The 18,036-nt window shown below is 45.4% G+C and overlaps 1 protein-coding gene and 1 long non-coding RNA gene across 3 annotated transcripts in view, besides 5 other annotated features; one reads left to right on the forward strand and one right to left on the reverse strand.

The window, feature by feature from the left end:
* The window catches only part of DAP (death associated protein), an 82,005-nt gene extending 76,691 nt beyond the window's left edge, over nt 1–5,314 (reverse strand). For both annotated transcript variants that reach the window (NM_001291963.2, NM_004394.3), the window contains exon 1: nt 5,094–5,314. In NM_001291963.2, the coding sequence (NP_001278892.1) occupies nt 5,094–5,148 (55 nt within the window). In that variant the 5' untranslated portion in view covers nt 5,149–5,314. The remainder of the gene's footprint in view (nt 1–5,093) is intronic.
* Nucleotides 734–823: a silencer, noted in NCBI's record as "silent region_15929". NCBI's record gives its function as "represses an Ori minimal core promoter by ATAC-STARR-seq in GM12878 lymphoblastoid cells {active_cell/tissue: GM12878}" and the evidence as "EXISTENCE:reporter gene assay evidence [ECO:0000049][PMID:35858748]".
* Nucleotides 1,044–1,123: an enhancer, noted in NCBI's record as "active region_22382". NCBI's record gives its function as "activates an Ori minimal core promoter by ATAC-STARR-seq in GM12878 lymphoblastoid cells {active_cell/tissue: GM12878}" and the evidence as "EXISTENCE:reporter gene assay evidence [ECO:0000049][PMID:35858748]".
* Nucleotides 4,870–5,299: a silencer, noted in NCBI's record as "silent region_15930". NCBI's record gives its function as "represses an Ori minimal core promoter by ATAC-STARR-seq in GM12878 lymphoblastoid cells {active_cell/tissue: GM12878}" and the evidence as "EXISTENCE:reporter gene assay evidence [ECO:0000049][PMID:35858748]".
* On the forward strand, nt 5,116–14,375 carry DAP-DT (DAP divergent transcript). The gene is made up of 3 exons (NR_187555.1): nt 5,116–5,296; nt 11,704–11,855; nt 14,230–14,375. It is a non-coding gene; the product is annotated as a DAP divergent transcript (long non-coding RNA).
* Nucleotides 5,372–6,217: an enhancer, noted in NCBI's record as "H3K27ac hESC enhancer chr5:10761404-10762249 (GRCh37/hg19 assembly coordinates)". NCBI's record gives its function as "activates a minimal SCP1, AML or CMV promoter by ChIP-STARR-seq in naive H9 embryonic stem cells {active_cell/tissue: H9 hESC(naive)}" and the evidence as "EXISTENCE:reporter gene assay evidence [ECO:0000049][PMID:30033119]".
* Nucleotides 5,380–5,849: a silencer, noted in NCBI's record as "silent region_15931". NCBI's record gives its function as "represses an Ori minimal core promoter by ATAC-STARR-seq in GM12878 lymphoblastoid cells {active_cell/tissue: GM12878}" and the evidence as "EXISTENCE:reporter gene assay evidence [ECO:0000049][PMID:35858748]".
* Nucleotides 14,376–18,036: the final 3,661 nt, after the last annotated feature.

Genomic DNA, 18,036 nt, shown 5'->3' on the forward strand with positions numbered 1-18,036 from the left:
GCAGGTCGCTTGAGCCCAGGAGTTTGAGACCTGACTGGACAACATAGTAAAACCTTGTGTCTACACAAAATACACAAATTAGCTGGTTGTGGTGGTGCACACCTGTAGTCCCAGCTACTCAGCACACTGAGGCGAGAAGATCTCTTGAGCCCAGGAGGCCAAGGTTGCAGTGAGCCAAGATCACGCCACTGCACTCAAGCCTGAGAGAGACCCTGTCTAGACAAGAACAACAAAAAAAGGCTAGGGAAGAGGTGAAATGCCATGGGCCACCTTGACAGAAGGCTTCTGAAAAAAGATAGTAACTAAAGGGTCTTGTTTTCCTTGGCATGTTGGGAACAAGGGCAGACCTCTTACCTGGACCATTCAATTTCTGGTCCTGACTGGTTGACACTGGGACTATGCTTAGCAAATCTGTGACCACAGGGTTAATAGAAGACAAATTAGTCTTCTGTTTCTAGCAATGGATAATCTGAAAGTCTTTCTGCAGGGAGATAATTCAGGGAGAATTACACTAGACTTTTGAAAGGCATCCTTAACTCATGTCTGACGTATCAATTAGTGTAAGAGAGAACTAAGTTACTCTGAAGTTACTAAAAAAAGTAACATGGCTTGAAATAAATATAATCGTGCTTATATTTCCATTTAATTCACTTTGAGAGGGGATGTAGAGTCTGCTTTTCAAAGAAAACCACATGTAAGATTAGTAACATTCAAAGCTATCATGTAGCAGATTTATGAGAACTCTACTGACACATGGTTTTGGCTCCACTGGGAAATGGAGGGGAACAGGGCCAGCAAAATGTATTTAACAAAGAGATTTTACACATCTCACTGCCACAGACTCACAAAGACTGGCAGAAATGAGTAATAGCGAGGCTTATAATTAGGTCCTCTTTTCTGCTGTGGAATGCTATGACTGCTGTTAGATGAAACAGAAAGAATCTCGCTAATTCTAACTCTGCTAATCTGCATTTGCAATAACTCATCAAACAAGCACTCACCCCATTTCTCTGCAAATATTTTGTAGTCAAGAGCAGTGGTAAGGTCTCAAATCATTAAGGCTGGATTACTTCTACAGAGGACTGCAGACGACAGCACATTTGCCAGGACATGATGCAGTGCCATCCATCACTTGTAAATAACAATACCTGTATTTGCACAGCACCTTTCTCTAACACTCTTCAGAAGCCTTTACAAACTGCCTCATTCGTCTCCCACCTTGGGAGGAGGCACCTGGCCAGTGATGGAGTCGTCTGTCGGGCTGCTGAAGTTCCAAAAGGCAACAGCCTTTCCGGCCGCTCCCACTAGGTCACTAGCTCAGGGGAGTTGGCAACAGACACTCCAAACAATTGGGTCAGGTTTTTTTTTTTTAGACGAAATATTCGCTCTTCTTGCCCAGGCTGGAGTCCAGTGGTGTGATCCTGGCTCACCACAACCTCTGCCTCCCAGGTTCAAGCGATTTTCCTGCCTCAGCCTACAGAGTAGCTGAGATTACAGGCACCCACCAGCACACCCGACTAATTTTGTATTTTTGGTAGAGACGGGGTTTCACCATGTTGGCCAGGCTAGTCTTGAACTCCTGAGCTCAGGTGCTCTCCCCACCTGGGTCTCCCAAAGTGCTGGGATTATAGGCGTGAGCCACGACACCCGGCTCTGGGTCAGGTTTTTAAACGGCACTGTCCTCGGTATCTCAATGTTAAGATGACTGGTGATTTCATGAGTTAAACGTGCCAAGCGCTTAGAAGTGTGTCAGCACATTGTGACACTCAACAAACTTCATTAGTGTTTCCACCAGTCTGCTGCCTGAACCGGCCAAGAGGACCACCTGCATCCCTGCGCACAGTACAGAGAGCTCAGAGTTGAGGAAGGTGTGGGCCCGGTTTGCTATGGGGGCAGTGAGGGGTGAGAAGAGGCCCTGGGGAAACTCTGGAGTGCTTATTGAGTATTTTGTGCCACCCCGGGAATAAAGAGATCAAGAAGACCCAGCCCTGGAAGCAAGAAGACAGGCAGAGAGGCGAAGGTTAGTGCACGAAGGAAAACAAGGGGATTGCGGGGAATGTACAGGAGATATGGGCCAGACAGCAACAAAGAGAAGACACAAAAGAACATTAAGATAGTCACTGTAAGAGAATTTTATTATTTCTGATTGAGCATTGAGGCACAAGTCTGTTATCCAATTTAAGCACTTAATGAAAGCATTCTCAACATTTTTAAGGCAGTGATTTTGATTTATGAACTGTGCTCTTGGCTATCCTTGATGATTATCCTTTAGTGTAGTGGGCCGCCTTTTTTTTTTTTTTTTAAAAACTATCTACCCTTCAGAGCTGCCTACTCTCTGGCAATGCCAGACTAAACAAGAACACCAGAGCTTCCTGCCAGAAAAGGTTCACACATGGTCCTCTGTAACATCTAGGAAAGCGCATTTGAGGGGTGCTGTTGGCATCTGAGGGGTGCTGTTGGCATTTGAGGGGTGCTGTTGGCATTTGAGGGGTGCTGTTGGCATTTGAGGGATGCTGCTGGCATTTGAGGGGTGCTGCTATTGGGCCCCTCCTCTAACTATGGTCTTGGAGACAGATGACAGATGGTGACAGCCACCCGCAAGAGCTCACCCCGTAAGTCTAAAGGGGTTGCCCTGAAGTTACTAGAGGAGTTTACCTGGGGGATGAACAGTGCTGGTACCCTGATGCTGAAGCGGGACGTGAGACTCACTGCAGCAAACACAGCCCCACCCTGTGACTTGCCCCGAGGCCCAAACCTCGAATTTCATAAAGGAGAAAAACTGAGCCCCAGTGAAGCGTGAAGTGATGTCTTCAAACTTAGAACCCAAGCTCACTGCTACACTAGCACAAATAAGCTGCCTCTTCCCTCCTCAGGGGTAAATAAACTACTTACTCTGTAATTCACAAAGCCTAGCTGTTTACTCTGCAATTCAAAGAAAACCAGAGTCCAGCAAGGAATTTCTCCCAGGGAGTGAGTATGTACAGTTTATACCTCTGACCTTAAAAATCTCCATATGGGCACTTTGGAAGGCTGAGGTGGGTGGATCACCTGAAGTCAGGAGTTCAAGACCAGCCTGGCCAACATGGCAAAATCCGGTCTCTACTAAAAATACAAAAATCAGCCAGGTGTGGTGGCAGGCACCTGTAAACCCAGCTACTCGGGAGGCTGAGGCAGGAGAATCTCTTGAACCTAGAAGGCGGAGGTTGCAGTGAGCCAAGATCGTGCCACTGCACTCCCAGGTGACAGAGTGAGACTCTGTTTCAAAAAACAAAACAAAAAACTTCTTTATGGGTGTGTCTCTGTATGCAATTTAATTACTGTACTTTGGTTCTGTATCATTCCAACAGATACGCTTTAATGTAACCCATGTCCTGGGGAGTGGAGGGCCAGAGCAGGTGGCTGCTGCAGTTCCTGGAGGCAGCCCTGCCCGGGGTGGAAATCAAGGCGCTCCTCCCCACAGTGGACAGGGACCCGCTGTGGTGGAATGGAAGTCAGTTATCCTTAAAAGAAATCCCATCAAAAAAAAAACTCCCTTTGAAGTACTTTTTTTCTTAAAACCAATGCAACACAAATTCCCCCAAAACCATTTTCCATCACAGTGGAATGATTTTCTAAAACCCCATGCCTCTTAAGTTCTCTGGCATCAGTTAGACATTTTTCTTTCCCAGTGCCAGTTAGTTTTGTTGTAGAGAGCCTCCGTCACCACTGAAAAATATTGCCTACTCTGGACTGCAACATATTTAAAGAACGGCTCCTATTCATTGTGCTGGTGCAGAGAATTCCCGCCCTATAGCGGAGGACAGCAGAGAAGGATAATGGGAATCTTTTTTTTTTTTTTTTTTTTTTTTGAGATGGAGTCTCGCTCGCTTTGTCGCCAAGGCTGGAGTGCTTTGGCTCAATCTTGGCTCACTACAACTTCTGCCTCCCGGGTTCAAGCCATTCTCCTGCCTCGGCCTCCTGAATAGCTGGGATTACAGGCGCCCGCCACCATGCCCAGCTAATTTTTCTACTTTTAGTAGAGATGGGGTTTCACCATGTTATCCAGGCTAGTCTTGAACTCCTGACCTCAAGTGATCCACCCTCCTTGGCCTCCCAAACTGCTGGGGTTACAGGCATGAGCCACCGCGCCTGGCCAGGAATCTTTATTGTCAAGAAAATGGCGCAAATGTGCCACCAAAAGAAGCCATGTTTCTCAAAGACTTCTGTTCCTACAAGACTGAGTTTATGACACTAAGGCGTGCTATTAAGACCTAAAAGAACCTCACGCATCCATACATTGAAGTGACTTGGCTTCTGAGACCCAAGGCCTTTGATCTTCTCACCAGTGTCCCTCCATATGGGCCGACTGCCACTGGAAAGGAGAGTAGAAACGGAAACAGACCCGTCTGGACAGAATCCAAAGTGCAAACAGGAACTGTGCCCAGAGAGAGGAGGAGGTGGCAGAAGCATGAAGGCTGCTTAGATCCCTATGTTCTAAGAAAGACCGCTCTTTCCTGGCTTTAACTTCCTTGGCTCAGAAGTTTAGGATTTGCTCAAAATCAGAAAAAGCAACTTTGGGGGAAAAAAAAAATCTGGATGTGGAAGAAACTGGCGGTGAAAGTCATATTGAGTGATTAATGATAAAAATTATTTCCGCTCCTTGGTTCTTGAGTCGGTATGAAACGCTGGCAGCCTCTAATTAATCATCACCATGATATTAACACCACTGACTTTTCATTGCTTCTGCTACTTTCTTTCTAGACATCTGTATCCTCTAAGTAAATATTATCCGCCAAAACTTTGTTATAAGTTGTGCAACTGGGTTCGCCCAAGGCACCGGAGCCTGCGCGCAATCGCACAGGTACGCGGCCGCCCGCGGTCCTCAGGAAGAAACGCTTCGCCGCCGCCGGCAAGCGGGGCCGAAGCTCCGGCGGGCTCCTCCCGGGCCTGGGCGCCCGACCTCTCCGCGGCCCGCGCCCCTCGGGCGGGCATCAAGGCCCGGAACCCGTCTCAGCGCTCGCCGGGGCCCTCCCCGCGGAGCCCCCGCCCGGCGCCCCCGGGTTCGAGCCCGCCCCCGGCACCCGCGCGTGGAGAGAGAGGAAAAGAGTCAGTACCGGCGGGCGGGTGTCCAGCTTTAGTCTCTAGTTTCCCTTCGGGAGGCGAAGACATGACGCGGCGGGGCTTCCGCGGGGCCGAGGCGGCGGCGCGGTTCTCGGGCCGGGCGGGCGTGCGCGAGTGAGCTCAGGTGTGAGCGCCGGGGAGCGAGCGGGCGGGAGAACGACGCGCGCGCGTGGGGCGCCGGGGCCGCGCGAGCCGGGTGAGTGCCACTGCCGTTAAGGGGGCGCGGCCGCCGCGCGCCGACGTGGCGCAGCCGAGCCCACCGACGGCATGCGCACTGACGTCACCGCGGCCCGCCCGCCCTGCTGGGCCGCGAGCCAAGCATACGGTGCGTGCGCAGCCGGCCGCGCCACGTCGGATGCTGTGGCCGGGGGCGGGGGCGGGGGCGGGGGCGGGGGCGGAGGAGGGAGGGGAGAGAAGGGGTGAAGAAGTGAGAGGGAGAAGGAAGGAGAGGGAGGCGGGGTCCCCGACTGGCTGCGGGGACTGGAGTTGCGGAAAGTTAAGTAGGGCCCAGCTGAGGATGGCTCCTGCAGCGAACGCGCTCAGCCGGGCTCCTGGCTACGCGGCGACGGCTGGGTGACTGCGCCCCACAGTGCGGGCCAGGGCCGGGGCGTCCCGGCAGGGAGGCGACCGTCCCCTGAGGCCCTCAGCCCCTGCCGCGGCAGCGCCTAATGAAGCGCGGAAAGGAGAGCCCAGATGGCAGCGACGGGGGCCGAGAGAGCAGGAATTTGTTAAAAGACGATGCGAGGGGAGAGCCTGCTTTCCGAGTGAGGGCCAGCGCTGGGGAGCAGAGACGGTGGCTTCTGTCCCTGCCCTCCTCGTTATGAACCAAAAATAAAATTCTAAGCCCTGCAGCCAACGGATGGACCCTCCCCTCCGCCTGTGGCCTTCTAAGTTATCTTGAAAAACTAGTTCAGGCCTTGATGGGAAGCGGAAGTCAAACATGGCCTCACAAACATCCGCACGGAGACCCTAAGACTAATAGAGGACTCTGATAAGAAACATTTGCAGTGTATTCCCGGCTTCATCTGCATGATAACACCTTGGTCTCCACAACTCCTTCATGCAACCCGGACATTCCCTTCTACTGAGTCCAGGTCTTTAGATGATAACTCTCAACCAGTTGCCAATCAGAAAACCTTTAAATGTACCTATGACCCGGACGCCTCCACTTCACATTTTACCTCCTAAAGAGCCAACCTACATCTTACGTATTGATTGATGTCTCATGTCTCCCTCAAATGTATAAAACCAAGATGTTTCCTGGCCACCCTGGGCACATGTCATCAGAACCTCCTGAGGTTGTGTCAATGCACGTCCTTAACCTTGGCAAAATAAACTTCCTAAATTGAGACCACTCTCAGAAACTTTTGGTTTTCACCATCATCTTCCTGTTGCCGTGGCTGACCCCTGGCTCTCGTGCCTTGGATCGTGTTCTTCCCGCCTGCCCCAGTGTTTTGCAACTGCTGTTAACTTCCGCAATGCCTTGCTGGATTCGCATTCAGACAGGCCTAATCTCTTTAGCGAAGGAAACACCACCCCTCGCTTGGCTGTACTTTTCCCTTTGACAACAAAACTGTTCAGGGAGGCTGAGCTCCTCATCTCTTGTCACTCCCTCCAGTCCAGTTTGTCTGGTTTTCATCAAGTTCTGCTGCACTGCCCTCAACCATGGGAGGTCCTTTTGTGGAAGTCACTTATAACCTATGTGCTGCCAGATCCAATGGTCATTTTCTACTTTCATTCTATTTGAGCTCTTAGCAGCACTTGATGCAGCTGGCCGTCCCCCTCCTCCTTTGCTCCGGAGGTGCCACATCACTGCCTTACCCTCCAGTTCTCTGGCCACCCTGGCTGCTCACTCTGTCAGCTTGGCAGTTCGCCCTCTTCTAGATTTATAAACATTTGAGTATCGCAAGGCTCAGCATTGGCCTTCTTCTCTATCTAGACTTCCCATAGATAGTCACATGCAGCCTGTGGACGACTATCATGCAGATGCTTACAGGTGCCAAATCTGCAACCTCATTTCTCTATTTCTGCTCCTCCCCTGAACTCCAGACTCACCACCACCACCACCTGCAGACGCTTATGGGTGCCACATCTGCAACTTAATTTCTCTCTTTCTGCCCCTCCACTGAACTCCAAACTCACCACCGCCACCTTGGCTTCTCTATTTGTTGTCTAACTCAGTGCTGCGCAACTCTGTGCATCAGGGCACACATGGAGATGCACATAGCATACATTGGTCTTGCATTCCCCACTCCATACACACATTTCAACACCGGTAATAGGATAATTGTTGGCCAGGCTGCAGTCATGATATGCTTGCCATTGTCTTGCATTCACATCCAAACTTCCAAGTGGGTGCCAGCAGTTTAGAAGAGAATCCTGAAATTAATACTGGGTTACTCTTTAAAGAGATAGCACATCACTCACGTTCTTAAAGGTTTAAGGATACCTAACTGATTAATTTCATGAGTAACTTCCTTTTTATGTATGTGCAAAAGTGCTATATAGTTAAAAACTTATGTCGTATGTCTTAAGCCTAAAGAATTATTTCTTGGAAGTATAAAATGAAAATTTTAAGTTGAAAGAGCACATTGTGGTATCATTTAATTGGTAGTGTTTTTACCCTTAGTGGTACCTAAAACAAAGTTGCATGTTACGAGCCACAGCATCTTAGACTCAATAACAAATGCTATTGGTAAGGAACCCTGGGGGGTGGGGGAGAAAGCCTTCACAGGAAGGAGCAGAGCTCCAGAGGGGCCCTGGTGGCCCCTGGACTGCCCTGAGGTCTGACAGGTTGTGTCTCTTTGCCTGTGACCTGTTCTCCAGGTTTGTACTGATTGGGAAACTCTGGTTGTCTTACAGTAGGTAGCTAGTCGGCCTGAGCAGGGCAGGAGAGGACTCTTCCCCCACAACCCACACCACCAGAAATGTTGTGTGACCATCAGGTGATGGTCAGGAAGTTGTTACACTGTTTCTCTAAAATAATAATTGGTTGCAGTCAGTGCCAGGGAAAGGCAGTCTCCCAGTAGATAGAAAAAACCTGAAAGTGGTGGTCAGCAGCTTCCTGGTAAGATCTCTTTGCCACACATCGAGAGGCAAAATGGCAACGTTTGACTGGTATATGACCTTCTAGGAACATGAGGCTGGTAAGGGAAGATTGCCTCAAGTGAGCATGTGTACACTTCCAATAAACACACTGCCCCTGCTCACTTTCCAAGCGCTGGCAAGTCACTGTGCATGTGGACAGCCTACCCCAAGGGAAGAATCAGGGGATAAGACTGATCCCTGAAGAATCAAGGGATGCAAGACTCCAGAAGTATGCCAATGTATAAAACCCTAAGTCAAAGGTCAAACCGTGCACTTGATCTCTAAAGTTACCTGCTTGGCCATCTTCCAAGTGTACTTTCCTTTTGTTCCAGATCTAAAGCTTTTTAATAAACTTTCACTCCTCCTTTAAAGTTGCCTCAGTCTCTCTTTCTGCTTTATACCCCTCAGTTGAATTCTTCCTTCTGAAGAGGCAAGAATTGAGGTTGCTGCAGACCTGTACAGATTCACTGCCACTAACGTATTATATTTGGGTGCTACGTGATTCAGGTACATTCTGCTCCTGACAGTGTGACAGCCAAGTTAATTTTACATCTTCAAAGAACTCTTGATTTCCCACCTATCGGCAAATAGCTTCTCCTCTAGAATACAATCCAAGCTACTCATTACAGTGTGGAATAATCTGTCTACTCAATAGCATTTCTAATGAAGGAAATACTGTTAAGAAGGTAGTGAACTTCGCAAAAAAAAGACATTTATTTTTCAGCTTCCCTTGTAGCTAGGGGTAGCCAAGTGACACAGTTTTGACCATGGAAATCTGCTGGGGTGTTTTGGGGAAAATTTACATTCTTAATATGGGGACACCCCTTCCTCCTGGTGACATCATTTGTACCACCTTGAATTCAGACAGAAGGCCAAAGGTAGAACAATCATATCGCAACTGTGAGGCAATCAAAGGCATGAAAATCACAAGCTAAAGGTGACAGAGCAGGAAGGTCAAAGGCATGTGGGAATCTGAGGGTCCATGGAGGCGCTTCAGAGCTGTGGACTCCTCGTCCAGACTTTTTTGTTGTGTGGGAAACAAATTTCTATTAAATAAAGTCCTTGTGGTTGGTGTCTTCATGGGCAGCCAAATGCAACCCCTAGCACACATGGCCTACCAGACCCTGCATGATGGGGGTCCTGCCCAGTTGTGAGCTCCTCCCTCTTGGCTCCTCTGGCCACACTGGCCTTTCTGAGGTTCCTCTAGCAGGACAAGCCAATTCTTCCCCTTGGGACTTTGTGTTAGCCACTCCCACTGAGACAGCCAAGCATAAAGGGGTCCGCAGAGAAACTCTGACTACCTGCACACCGGAAGATGGGGTGGAGCCACAGAAGTTCACGCCCTTTACAGGGGAGAGGAGCCTGACCTCTTCCCGGGTGGAATCTGGGATTCAATCTGTGACGCGGGAAACCGGCTAGCAGGACTCTTGCTTTGCTGAAAGTCCCTGTTTCCTTTTTTTCCTTTTTGCCTAATAAATTCCATTTTCCCCACCCTTCAAAGTGTCTGTGAGCCTAATCTTTCGTGGTTATGTGACAAGGACGCTCTTTTTAGCTAGGCTAACAAGAAAGTCCTACAACACCACTGCCGAGAACTGTCTCTTCCAGATCCTCGCGTAGTTAACTTCTTCTTATTCTGGAATCAGCTTTTCAAGGGGCCTGCTCTGTCTTACTGTCTTTATAGCACTCTATCCTCATCTGAAATTCCTCATTTATCTGTCTGCTGGCTTATTGTTTTTCTCCACTGACTAGAATGTCAGCTCCATGAGGGGAGAAACCTAATCCATCTTGCCCACTAGGTATTCCCAGCACCTAAAACCATGGTGGGCACAGAAGAAGCATTCAACAGTTATTTTCTCCCCATAATTCTAGAACATAGATACATTTAATTTCTCACAACTGCTACCTAAATGAAGAGTAGCCAATGATGACTAAACAGAGAATGAAAAATGTATATAGCATATAGATGGCACATGGCCAGTGATCTTTTCTGACATTTGCTTTATCTTGTAAATACTTTGTGTGTGCATATGTGTGTGCACACGTGTGTGCATGCATGCATGGGAGTGTCCAGCCCCTCCAGCCCTAGATGCTGAGGATAAATGTCAGGCATCACCCACTGGTGATATAGATGTACTATGTAGATGTTCTATGTAGATGTACATACTCAGTAGATAGGATGAGAATTGTTGAATGAATAATCTTATTTGCATCTCACAATAACAGTAGGAGTAAGATGTACCAAGGAAAACAAAAACAAACAAACAAAATGGAGAAGAGAAGGATTGTTGGACTTATGTGGGATGCAACTCTGGTGAGTGTGACCTGGGACCCAGGCTGGATTTTCTAAGCCCCAGTTCCATTCCCCCAAGTGAGGGCTGACTTCTAAACAGAGTTTTGGGAACCATTTTCTTTTCTTCTCTAAATAGGCTGTTTTCTCTCTTTTTTTTTTTTTTTTTTAAGATGGGGTCTCTTTAGATGGGGTCTCACTCTGTCACCCCTGCTGGAGTGCAGTGGCACGATCTCAGTTCACTGCAACCTCTGCCTCCCAGGCTCAGGTGTTTGTCCCACCGCAGCCTCCCAAGTAGCTGGGACTACAGGCCCATGCCACCACGCCCAGCTAATTCTTCGTATTTCTGGTAGCGGCGGGGATTTGCCATGTTACCCAGGCTGGTCTTGAATTCTTGAGCTCAGATGATCCACCCATAAATAGGCTGTTTTCTAATCCCAAATGGTGGTAAATTCACTTAGTGTGAATGCTGTAAGCCCTGGAAAAAGTATTTGAAGAAGAAACGGAAAATGCAGATTCTCTTCTCCAGATGTGTATTTTGTGTCCGTGGCTACATCACTAAACCTTTCTGAGTCTCAGTGTCCTCATCTGCAAGTCAGAGATGTGAACACTAATGCCTCTCCCAGGAAGGTTGTGAGAATTAAGGGCTTTGACTAAACATGATTATGCCCGTACAGCTCCGTGTCACCCCACTTACCCCCTACAGGATCCTGAGACACAGGGGGTTCTCTGCCCTTTTTTGATGGAGAAATTGGATCTGTAGCTGGATTTTCTAAGCTTGGTGCAAGGATTGGTAGCTAGTGTGGGGAGACCCAAGAGAACCCAGCTCTTGCTATCTTATCCATTGTAAATTTAAAAGTGTTTTGTAAGCCATAATATACTAGAGAATGTACTGTTATTACTGCAAAGGGAGTTTCTTTTTATCAGCATTCATGAAATATACGAATAGTCCCAGTGTGTATTAAAATAATCCCACATAACAATCACTTCGATGAATATTGCTTTCTTTATTCCAGGCTGGTTTCTGTTTCCTGTCTTCTTGTGCTGTTGTCTGATAGATGAGAATTTTGTATTCTTATTTACTACTTCTATGGCTTGAATGTGTCTCCCAAAATTCATGTGTTGGAAACTTAATCCCCAATGCAATGGTGTTGAGAAGTGGGATCTTTAATAAGTGACTGGCTCATGAGGGCTCTGTTCTCATGAATGGATTTATGCTGTTATCACAGGAGTGGGCTCCCGATAAGAGGATGAATTCAGCCCTCCTTCCTCTTCTTTCACGTGTTCTCTTGCCCTTCCACCCTCCACCATGGGATGACACACCAAGAAGGCCTTCACCAGATGTGGGCCCTTGACCTTGGACTTCCCAGCCTCCAGAACTGTGAGAAATAAATATTTGTTTTTTATAAATTACACAGTCTCAGGTATTCTGTTATAGTAGCATAAAATGGACCAAGACAATGACCCAGGATTTCTCTGATTTCTCCTCCATTGTTAATTTTGCTCATAAGGGGAGAGCGTCAGTCATTCTTGACTTTGCTTTGTAACATCTAGGATATTTCTTATTATACTATGTAGTGTAGGCTTTAAATTAATTTTAATGTAATTTTTGACATACACACATACACATAAAACACTTGAAGAGGATATACATATCTCAAAATCAAATAAAAATGATAGAATATATTTTACACACACATATACACACATGTGCGTGTGCACACACACACACACACACAAGTGAGGGATCTTTGGGATTTCACTGGGCCTCAACTTATCACTCAGTGACAGTTTCAGGCATTTTTCAAAAGTAATTCAACAGCTAATAAAGAGCATGGAGGTCCATTTTAGTCACATATGAGGTTATACTTTAGTTAACAGTATTTGAAGAAAAAAATAACCAGGCTGAACCTTGGCAAAATATTCCTCTTATCTTTATTTAAAAGTTAGAAAATAGAAACTGCAAAAAAGTTGAGAGTAACACAACCATGAATATTGATTTTCTAGGGAATTTCGAATGCTTTGTAAGTTATTTATAAAAAATGTGTTTTAGCAGAGAAATGGGAAGTGGTAAGGAAAATTTTATGTCTAGCTCTTGCATTGAGTCATTATTTGACCTTGTGCAAGCTACTTATGCATTCTGTAATTACATTTCCATATTGGAGGCCATAATACCTATCTTACTTGAAGATTCAAATAGTTATTCAATATTATGTCTTAGCATTTACAGCCCTCGTGCTGTACTATGTGCCTCCTAGAGGTAGTTTTGGCAATCTCAGAGTTTTGATAGCATTAGTGACACCATTTTTCAGAAGGGCTGTTTTCACAGGCTTTGAAGTGAAGAAGGTCTCAAAGAAGAGGCTGTTGGCCTGGGTTATTTTTTCCTCCAAAGGAGCATGTTGTATCTTCTCTTACTGGCCATATGGACGTTTTGACTACATTCAAGAAAGAATTAATTTTTATGAATAAGTTTTTTAAAAAATACAAAAAAATACACTTTGGAAAACCTAAATAACAGATTAATGTCCAAAGGAAAAAGCAAGTCACCACTTCTCAACAATCCTACCAGCAGGTAAAGTTGACCACTTGTAACATTCTGTTGTACGTCCCTCCAGGCTTCCAGACAAAAATAGACAAGGATTCTTTTTAGCTATCTTATTTTGTAAATTGTCCCTTAATTTGTGTTTGATGTTTTTCTCATAGTTAAAAACAGGAGTTACAGGTTTTTGGAAGGAAGATCATAGTGACCTTTTTTTATCACATTATGTTAATGTGATTATTAACATAATGTTATTAATATGACTAATCACTGAAGATGTCAACCTGATCACCTCATGATAGAAAGCGTTTTTAAGTATGGCCATTTTATTAGATTTAAGTTAATTTATTGGTGAGTTCAGCTCTATAATAGGACTCAATATGAACATGGGCTAAATTCTTTGTATCACAACCTTGAAGTTCCCCAAGAATTGCTAAGAGTCTATATTAACAAGCCTATGCCTGGTCATGAGTCTGGAAGATACCTCTGGGCTCTTGCCATCTCAGCTTTATTTGCTCTCACTATTCTAGGGTTAGAGATGGCAAGTAATTTCCTTAAAAAAATTTAGAGCTTTTTTTTTCCTGCTGAAATTACTTGGTTTTTTTTTTAGACCATCTTTCTTCTCAACAAATGATTTCCTATAATTGATTAATTATTCCATTCAGGGTGAAGTATCTGTGTGTGACTTTGCAGGCTAGAGAGGGTTGTAAATAATGACTTCTGTCGGATCCTAGTCCTCAGTGTGTTTGCAGAAAAGCCAGCTCTGTTCTTGCTCAATTTTAGAAAAGGTCCGAGCTTGGGAAGTACAATTGCTGTTAATCCAGATAAGAACAAATCCCAAAGCCATCCTTCAGGTTTGGAGGGACCCTCTGGGGCACCATTCACAAGCTTTTCACTGACACAAGTTAATAAAATGCTTTTGGCCATGGAAAAAATAAAAGAAAATATACAATTTCAGTAGCTCACTGGAGACTTACAACATGACTATTCACGGCCTTAACAAAGAACCACAGGGCATTTGGGTAAAGAAAAGCTACACTTAGCATTCCAGGCAAGGTTGTGGCAAAGGTATAACTTGACATGACATCACTTAGCACAAATATTGGGGAATAACATGCTGGGTCTGGCTTAGTTTGGGTTTGGCTTATTTACTGTTCCTCTGTCCCTTAAGAATGTTGTTATTCTCCTTTTCTTTTCCCTTCTCTTTTCATTTCAGAAGGAGAAACCAACTCCAAGTTCTTATTGGAATATTTACAGGGTACTGGAGGGGCTCACAGTATTAAGGAGAAGACTCCGGCAGCCTCTGAAAGAAAGAAAACTAGGGAAGCTCTGGAAACACCAATAAACGACCTCTGTCTAGGACGCTGCTGGTGGATGACTCAATGTGATGGTTCATTTCATGTGTCAGCTTGGATGGGCTATAGGGTGCAGGTATTGGGTCAAACATTATTCTAGATGTATCTGTGAAGCTCTATTTTAGATGAGATAGACACTGAAATGGGTGAACTTTGAGTAAAGAAGAGCACTCGCTATAATGTGGGTGAGCCTCTTCCAATCAGGTGAAGACCTTAGCAGAAAAAAAACTGACTGTAGGCGTCCCAATCTCATGAGCCAACTCCTTAAAATAAATCTCTCTCTGTGTGTGTCTCTCTGTCTCTCTCTCTCTGTCTCTCTCTCTCTCTCTCACACACACACACACACACACACACACACACACACACACCCTGTTGGTTCTGTTTCTCTGGAGCACCCTGACTGACATGCTCAGTTATGACTTTCCTCTCTCCTGGATCTCCATTCCAGACCTGATGCAGTGAGCATGCAACATTCTTGGACCTGAACCTACTTTGATTCAGGTGCTATGCTGTACATGACCTTCCTGGGTGTAAGCTGAAGTGGAGAGAACATTTACAACTTAGTGAGCTAATCAAGCAGCCCTGTCAACTGACAACCAGGATGGATGTCCTCATACCATATCACATTTGGCTATATTCTGTTATCTATCATAAGTTACTGATCCTCCTGCCACGTTTTTCTGAAATTTGATTTCAAGAGATGAGGGCACTCCTATTATCCAGTGTTTTACCCCAGAGCCTATCTTTACCCATTAGGAATGTAACCCCTTAACCTCATACCTTGTGTAACTCCAAGTTGTAAAACACATTTAACATAATTGCATCTGCTCCTAAACCTCTCCCTTGTAGGGAATAGTGTTCATAAATTGTGCCTATTGTTAAAGACTTAAGCTGCAAAATGACCTCGTACTAATTTAGTTCATCATCGCAGATTATATCTTACATAAATTCTCTTGCTAATCAGATTTTCAGAACTCAGTTCTAGTTTTTCTCCTTTCTAACTTGCAAACTGCACATAAACAAAAAGCAATAATGGCTTTTTGTTTATTATTGTTGGTAAGAACACTTAATGAGACATCTACCCTCTTAACAAACCTTTGAGTAATACTGTATTGCTAACTACAGGCATGACGCTGTGTAGCAGATCTCTAGAATGTATTCATCTTGCAAACTGTAAGATACACCAAGAGATATGTCTTCCCCTCTCCCAGCCTTTGGCACTACCATTTTACTCTGTTTCTATGAGTTTGACTGTTGTGGCTTGCTCATGTAAGTGGGGTCTTGCAGTATTTGGCCGAGTAGTTTCCCACTGTGCACAGATGTCACATTTTCTGTATTCATCTGTCGATGGACACTTACATTGCTTCTGTTCTAATGAATTCATTACACAACGGGAAGTCTTGCTTTCCACCTCCTTTCCCCCCAACTCCCACCTACCTTGCTGGCCTTTCTGATACTAAAGTCTGCCTGTCCCATGGAGCCAGCTCTTTCCATCAACAGCCCTACGCTCTCTGCTTTGTTTGATCTCAGTTCCCTGGTGTTTGTTTCCACTTCCAACTTTCACTTAGGTGTCTGGAGAGCTGAGTGGTCCTTGAGGGTCCAAACAGCAAAGTACAGGAGCTGAGAGACTGAAAGGAAGTCTGTCCTTATCATCAGCCCAAGTGTGGTGGTCATGGTAGACATCTGCTGACCCTGAGCCTCCCTCCTGGAGTCTCTTTTCTGTTCCTACAGTCCCAACGCTGTAGTAACGGAGAGGAGGGAGGCATGGTTGGCTACTAGGCTCTGAAGGTAAATCTAGAAATCTCAAGGCCGGGAAGGGAGTTGTTGATTTCATAGACTTTCTTTTATTCAAGAAAATATTTTTGAGCACCTTCCTTTTGCCAGGCACCTTTCTAGAAAGTGAAGATAAAGTTTCAGCTCTCTCAGAGCTTATACTCTAGTCCAATGGAGGCCGACACAGTACATGGTGACGAGTAACAGAGGTAGGCTTCTGGTATTCTCCTCTAAAACAGACTGAAATGCTGAATGATGATCCAGTTTCTAAAGCTTTCCGATATTAATATAATGTGTTGTTTCTGGACAGTTCCTTGGAACACATTTTAAAAGATGAAAGTCAGGTGCCAAGGCATTCATGCTTTATGTTATGTGCAGGCAAGATCTTTCAGGAAGCAATTTTGGGTAGGGAGAGGCTGGCTTGCGTACACTTTATCCCTTTCGGTTATTCATGCCAGAGAGATGGGGCAAGTCTTTTGAAGACAGTCCTTCATTCTCTCTAGCAGGTGTCAGTAAACTGTGGCTAAAGGACAAGTCCAGTCCACTGCCTATTTTTGTAAATAATGTTCTAATGGAACACAGCCACATCACTCACTTAAGTATTGTCTGTGGCCGCTTTTGTGCTACAAGAGCAGAATTGAGTAGTTGCAACAGAGGTGGCATGGGCTGTAAAGCAGAAGTATTAATTTGACCCTCTAGAGAAAGTGTGTAGGCCCCTTCTCTACAACAGTGGTTTTAGTGTGGTCCCTGGAGCAGTAGCATCTGCACCACTGAGAGGTTATAAAGAAATCCAAGTTCTTATCCTACCATAGATCTGCTAAATCTGAAACCCTGGGCTGGGCCCCAGCAATCCATGTTTTCATAAGCCCTCCTGGTGGTTCTAACGCATGCTAAAGTTTGAGAACCGCTGAACATCACTAATCTATAGTTTCTAGGGGACTATTGCCTGCTAGGAAGTCAGAAGCCTGCAGCAGTTTTGAAATACTGATATCTCCTTATTCTTTTACATGATTGCTTATAAACTGAGTGCTGTGTGTCATGATGTATTGGGTGATGCATTTCAAGAGAAGCTATGTGTAATGGCGCTAATGATTAAGAATTGTGCTTACAGCAGAAAGGATCATTAACTGATTTTATAACACTTATGAGGACTAATATTTAGCTCATTGATTTGTGAACATCGCATCAATGTTCCTTTTTAAAGTTAAATCTCTTTAAATTAATTTCGATCACAGTTGAGGAGAAGACGTTGACTGATGGCATTGTGTTCATGTGCTGTGATTGTGAACAGCTCCTGGTGTTTTCCCAGGTGGCCATGAATGGGTCTGATTTATGGATTCCCCTGAAAGGCACAAGAAAAGCATGAATGTCATGGTGTCCTTCTTGGCTGGGGTCAGTTGTGATGCTGCCACTGGAGGCTGCTGCCTCTTGCCCACTGTTACCCTCCTTTAAGGAAGAAAAGGCTGGCAGGCAGGGCACACACCAAGTCGAGTTTCAGTTTTGGGATATCTGAGATGTGGTGTAAAGGACAGAATGGAAGGGCAAGCCCCGGGAGCTGTCAGCTTGAGGCCTGAAATAACAGACTTCTCTACTTCTGTGAGTGGATTAGGAAAGAGAAGACTCAGTCAGACTTCTTCAAATTTTCGACTTGGCTGACTCTTGTTTCTGGACATTCAGACTTAAAACATCTTCATGGGCAAGTGCCTTCCTCTACCTTAATTTCAGGTTTAGTAATTATTATTATGAGCTTTTTTTTTCTCATTTATATTGCCTGTATCTCCTAAATAGATGGGATTTTCATGGACAGCCTCATGATTTTTTTTTTTGCCATATTATCAACTCAAAGAAATGTATGATATCACTGTTCCAACTGATTAGGTAGACATTCATCATTA

Source organism: Homo sapiens, chromosome 5 (assembly GCF_000001405.40).
Source record: "Homo sapiens chromosome 5, GRCh38.p14 Primary Assembly".
Lineage (NCBI taxonomy): Eukaryota > Metazoa > Chordata > Mammalia > Primates > Hominidae > Homo > Homo sapiens.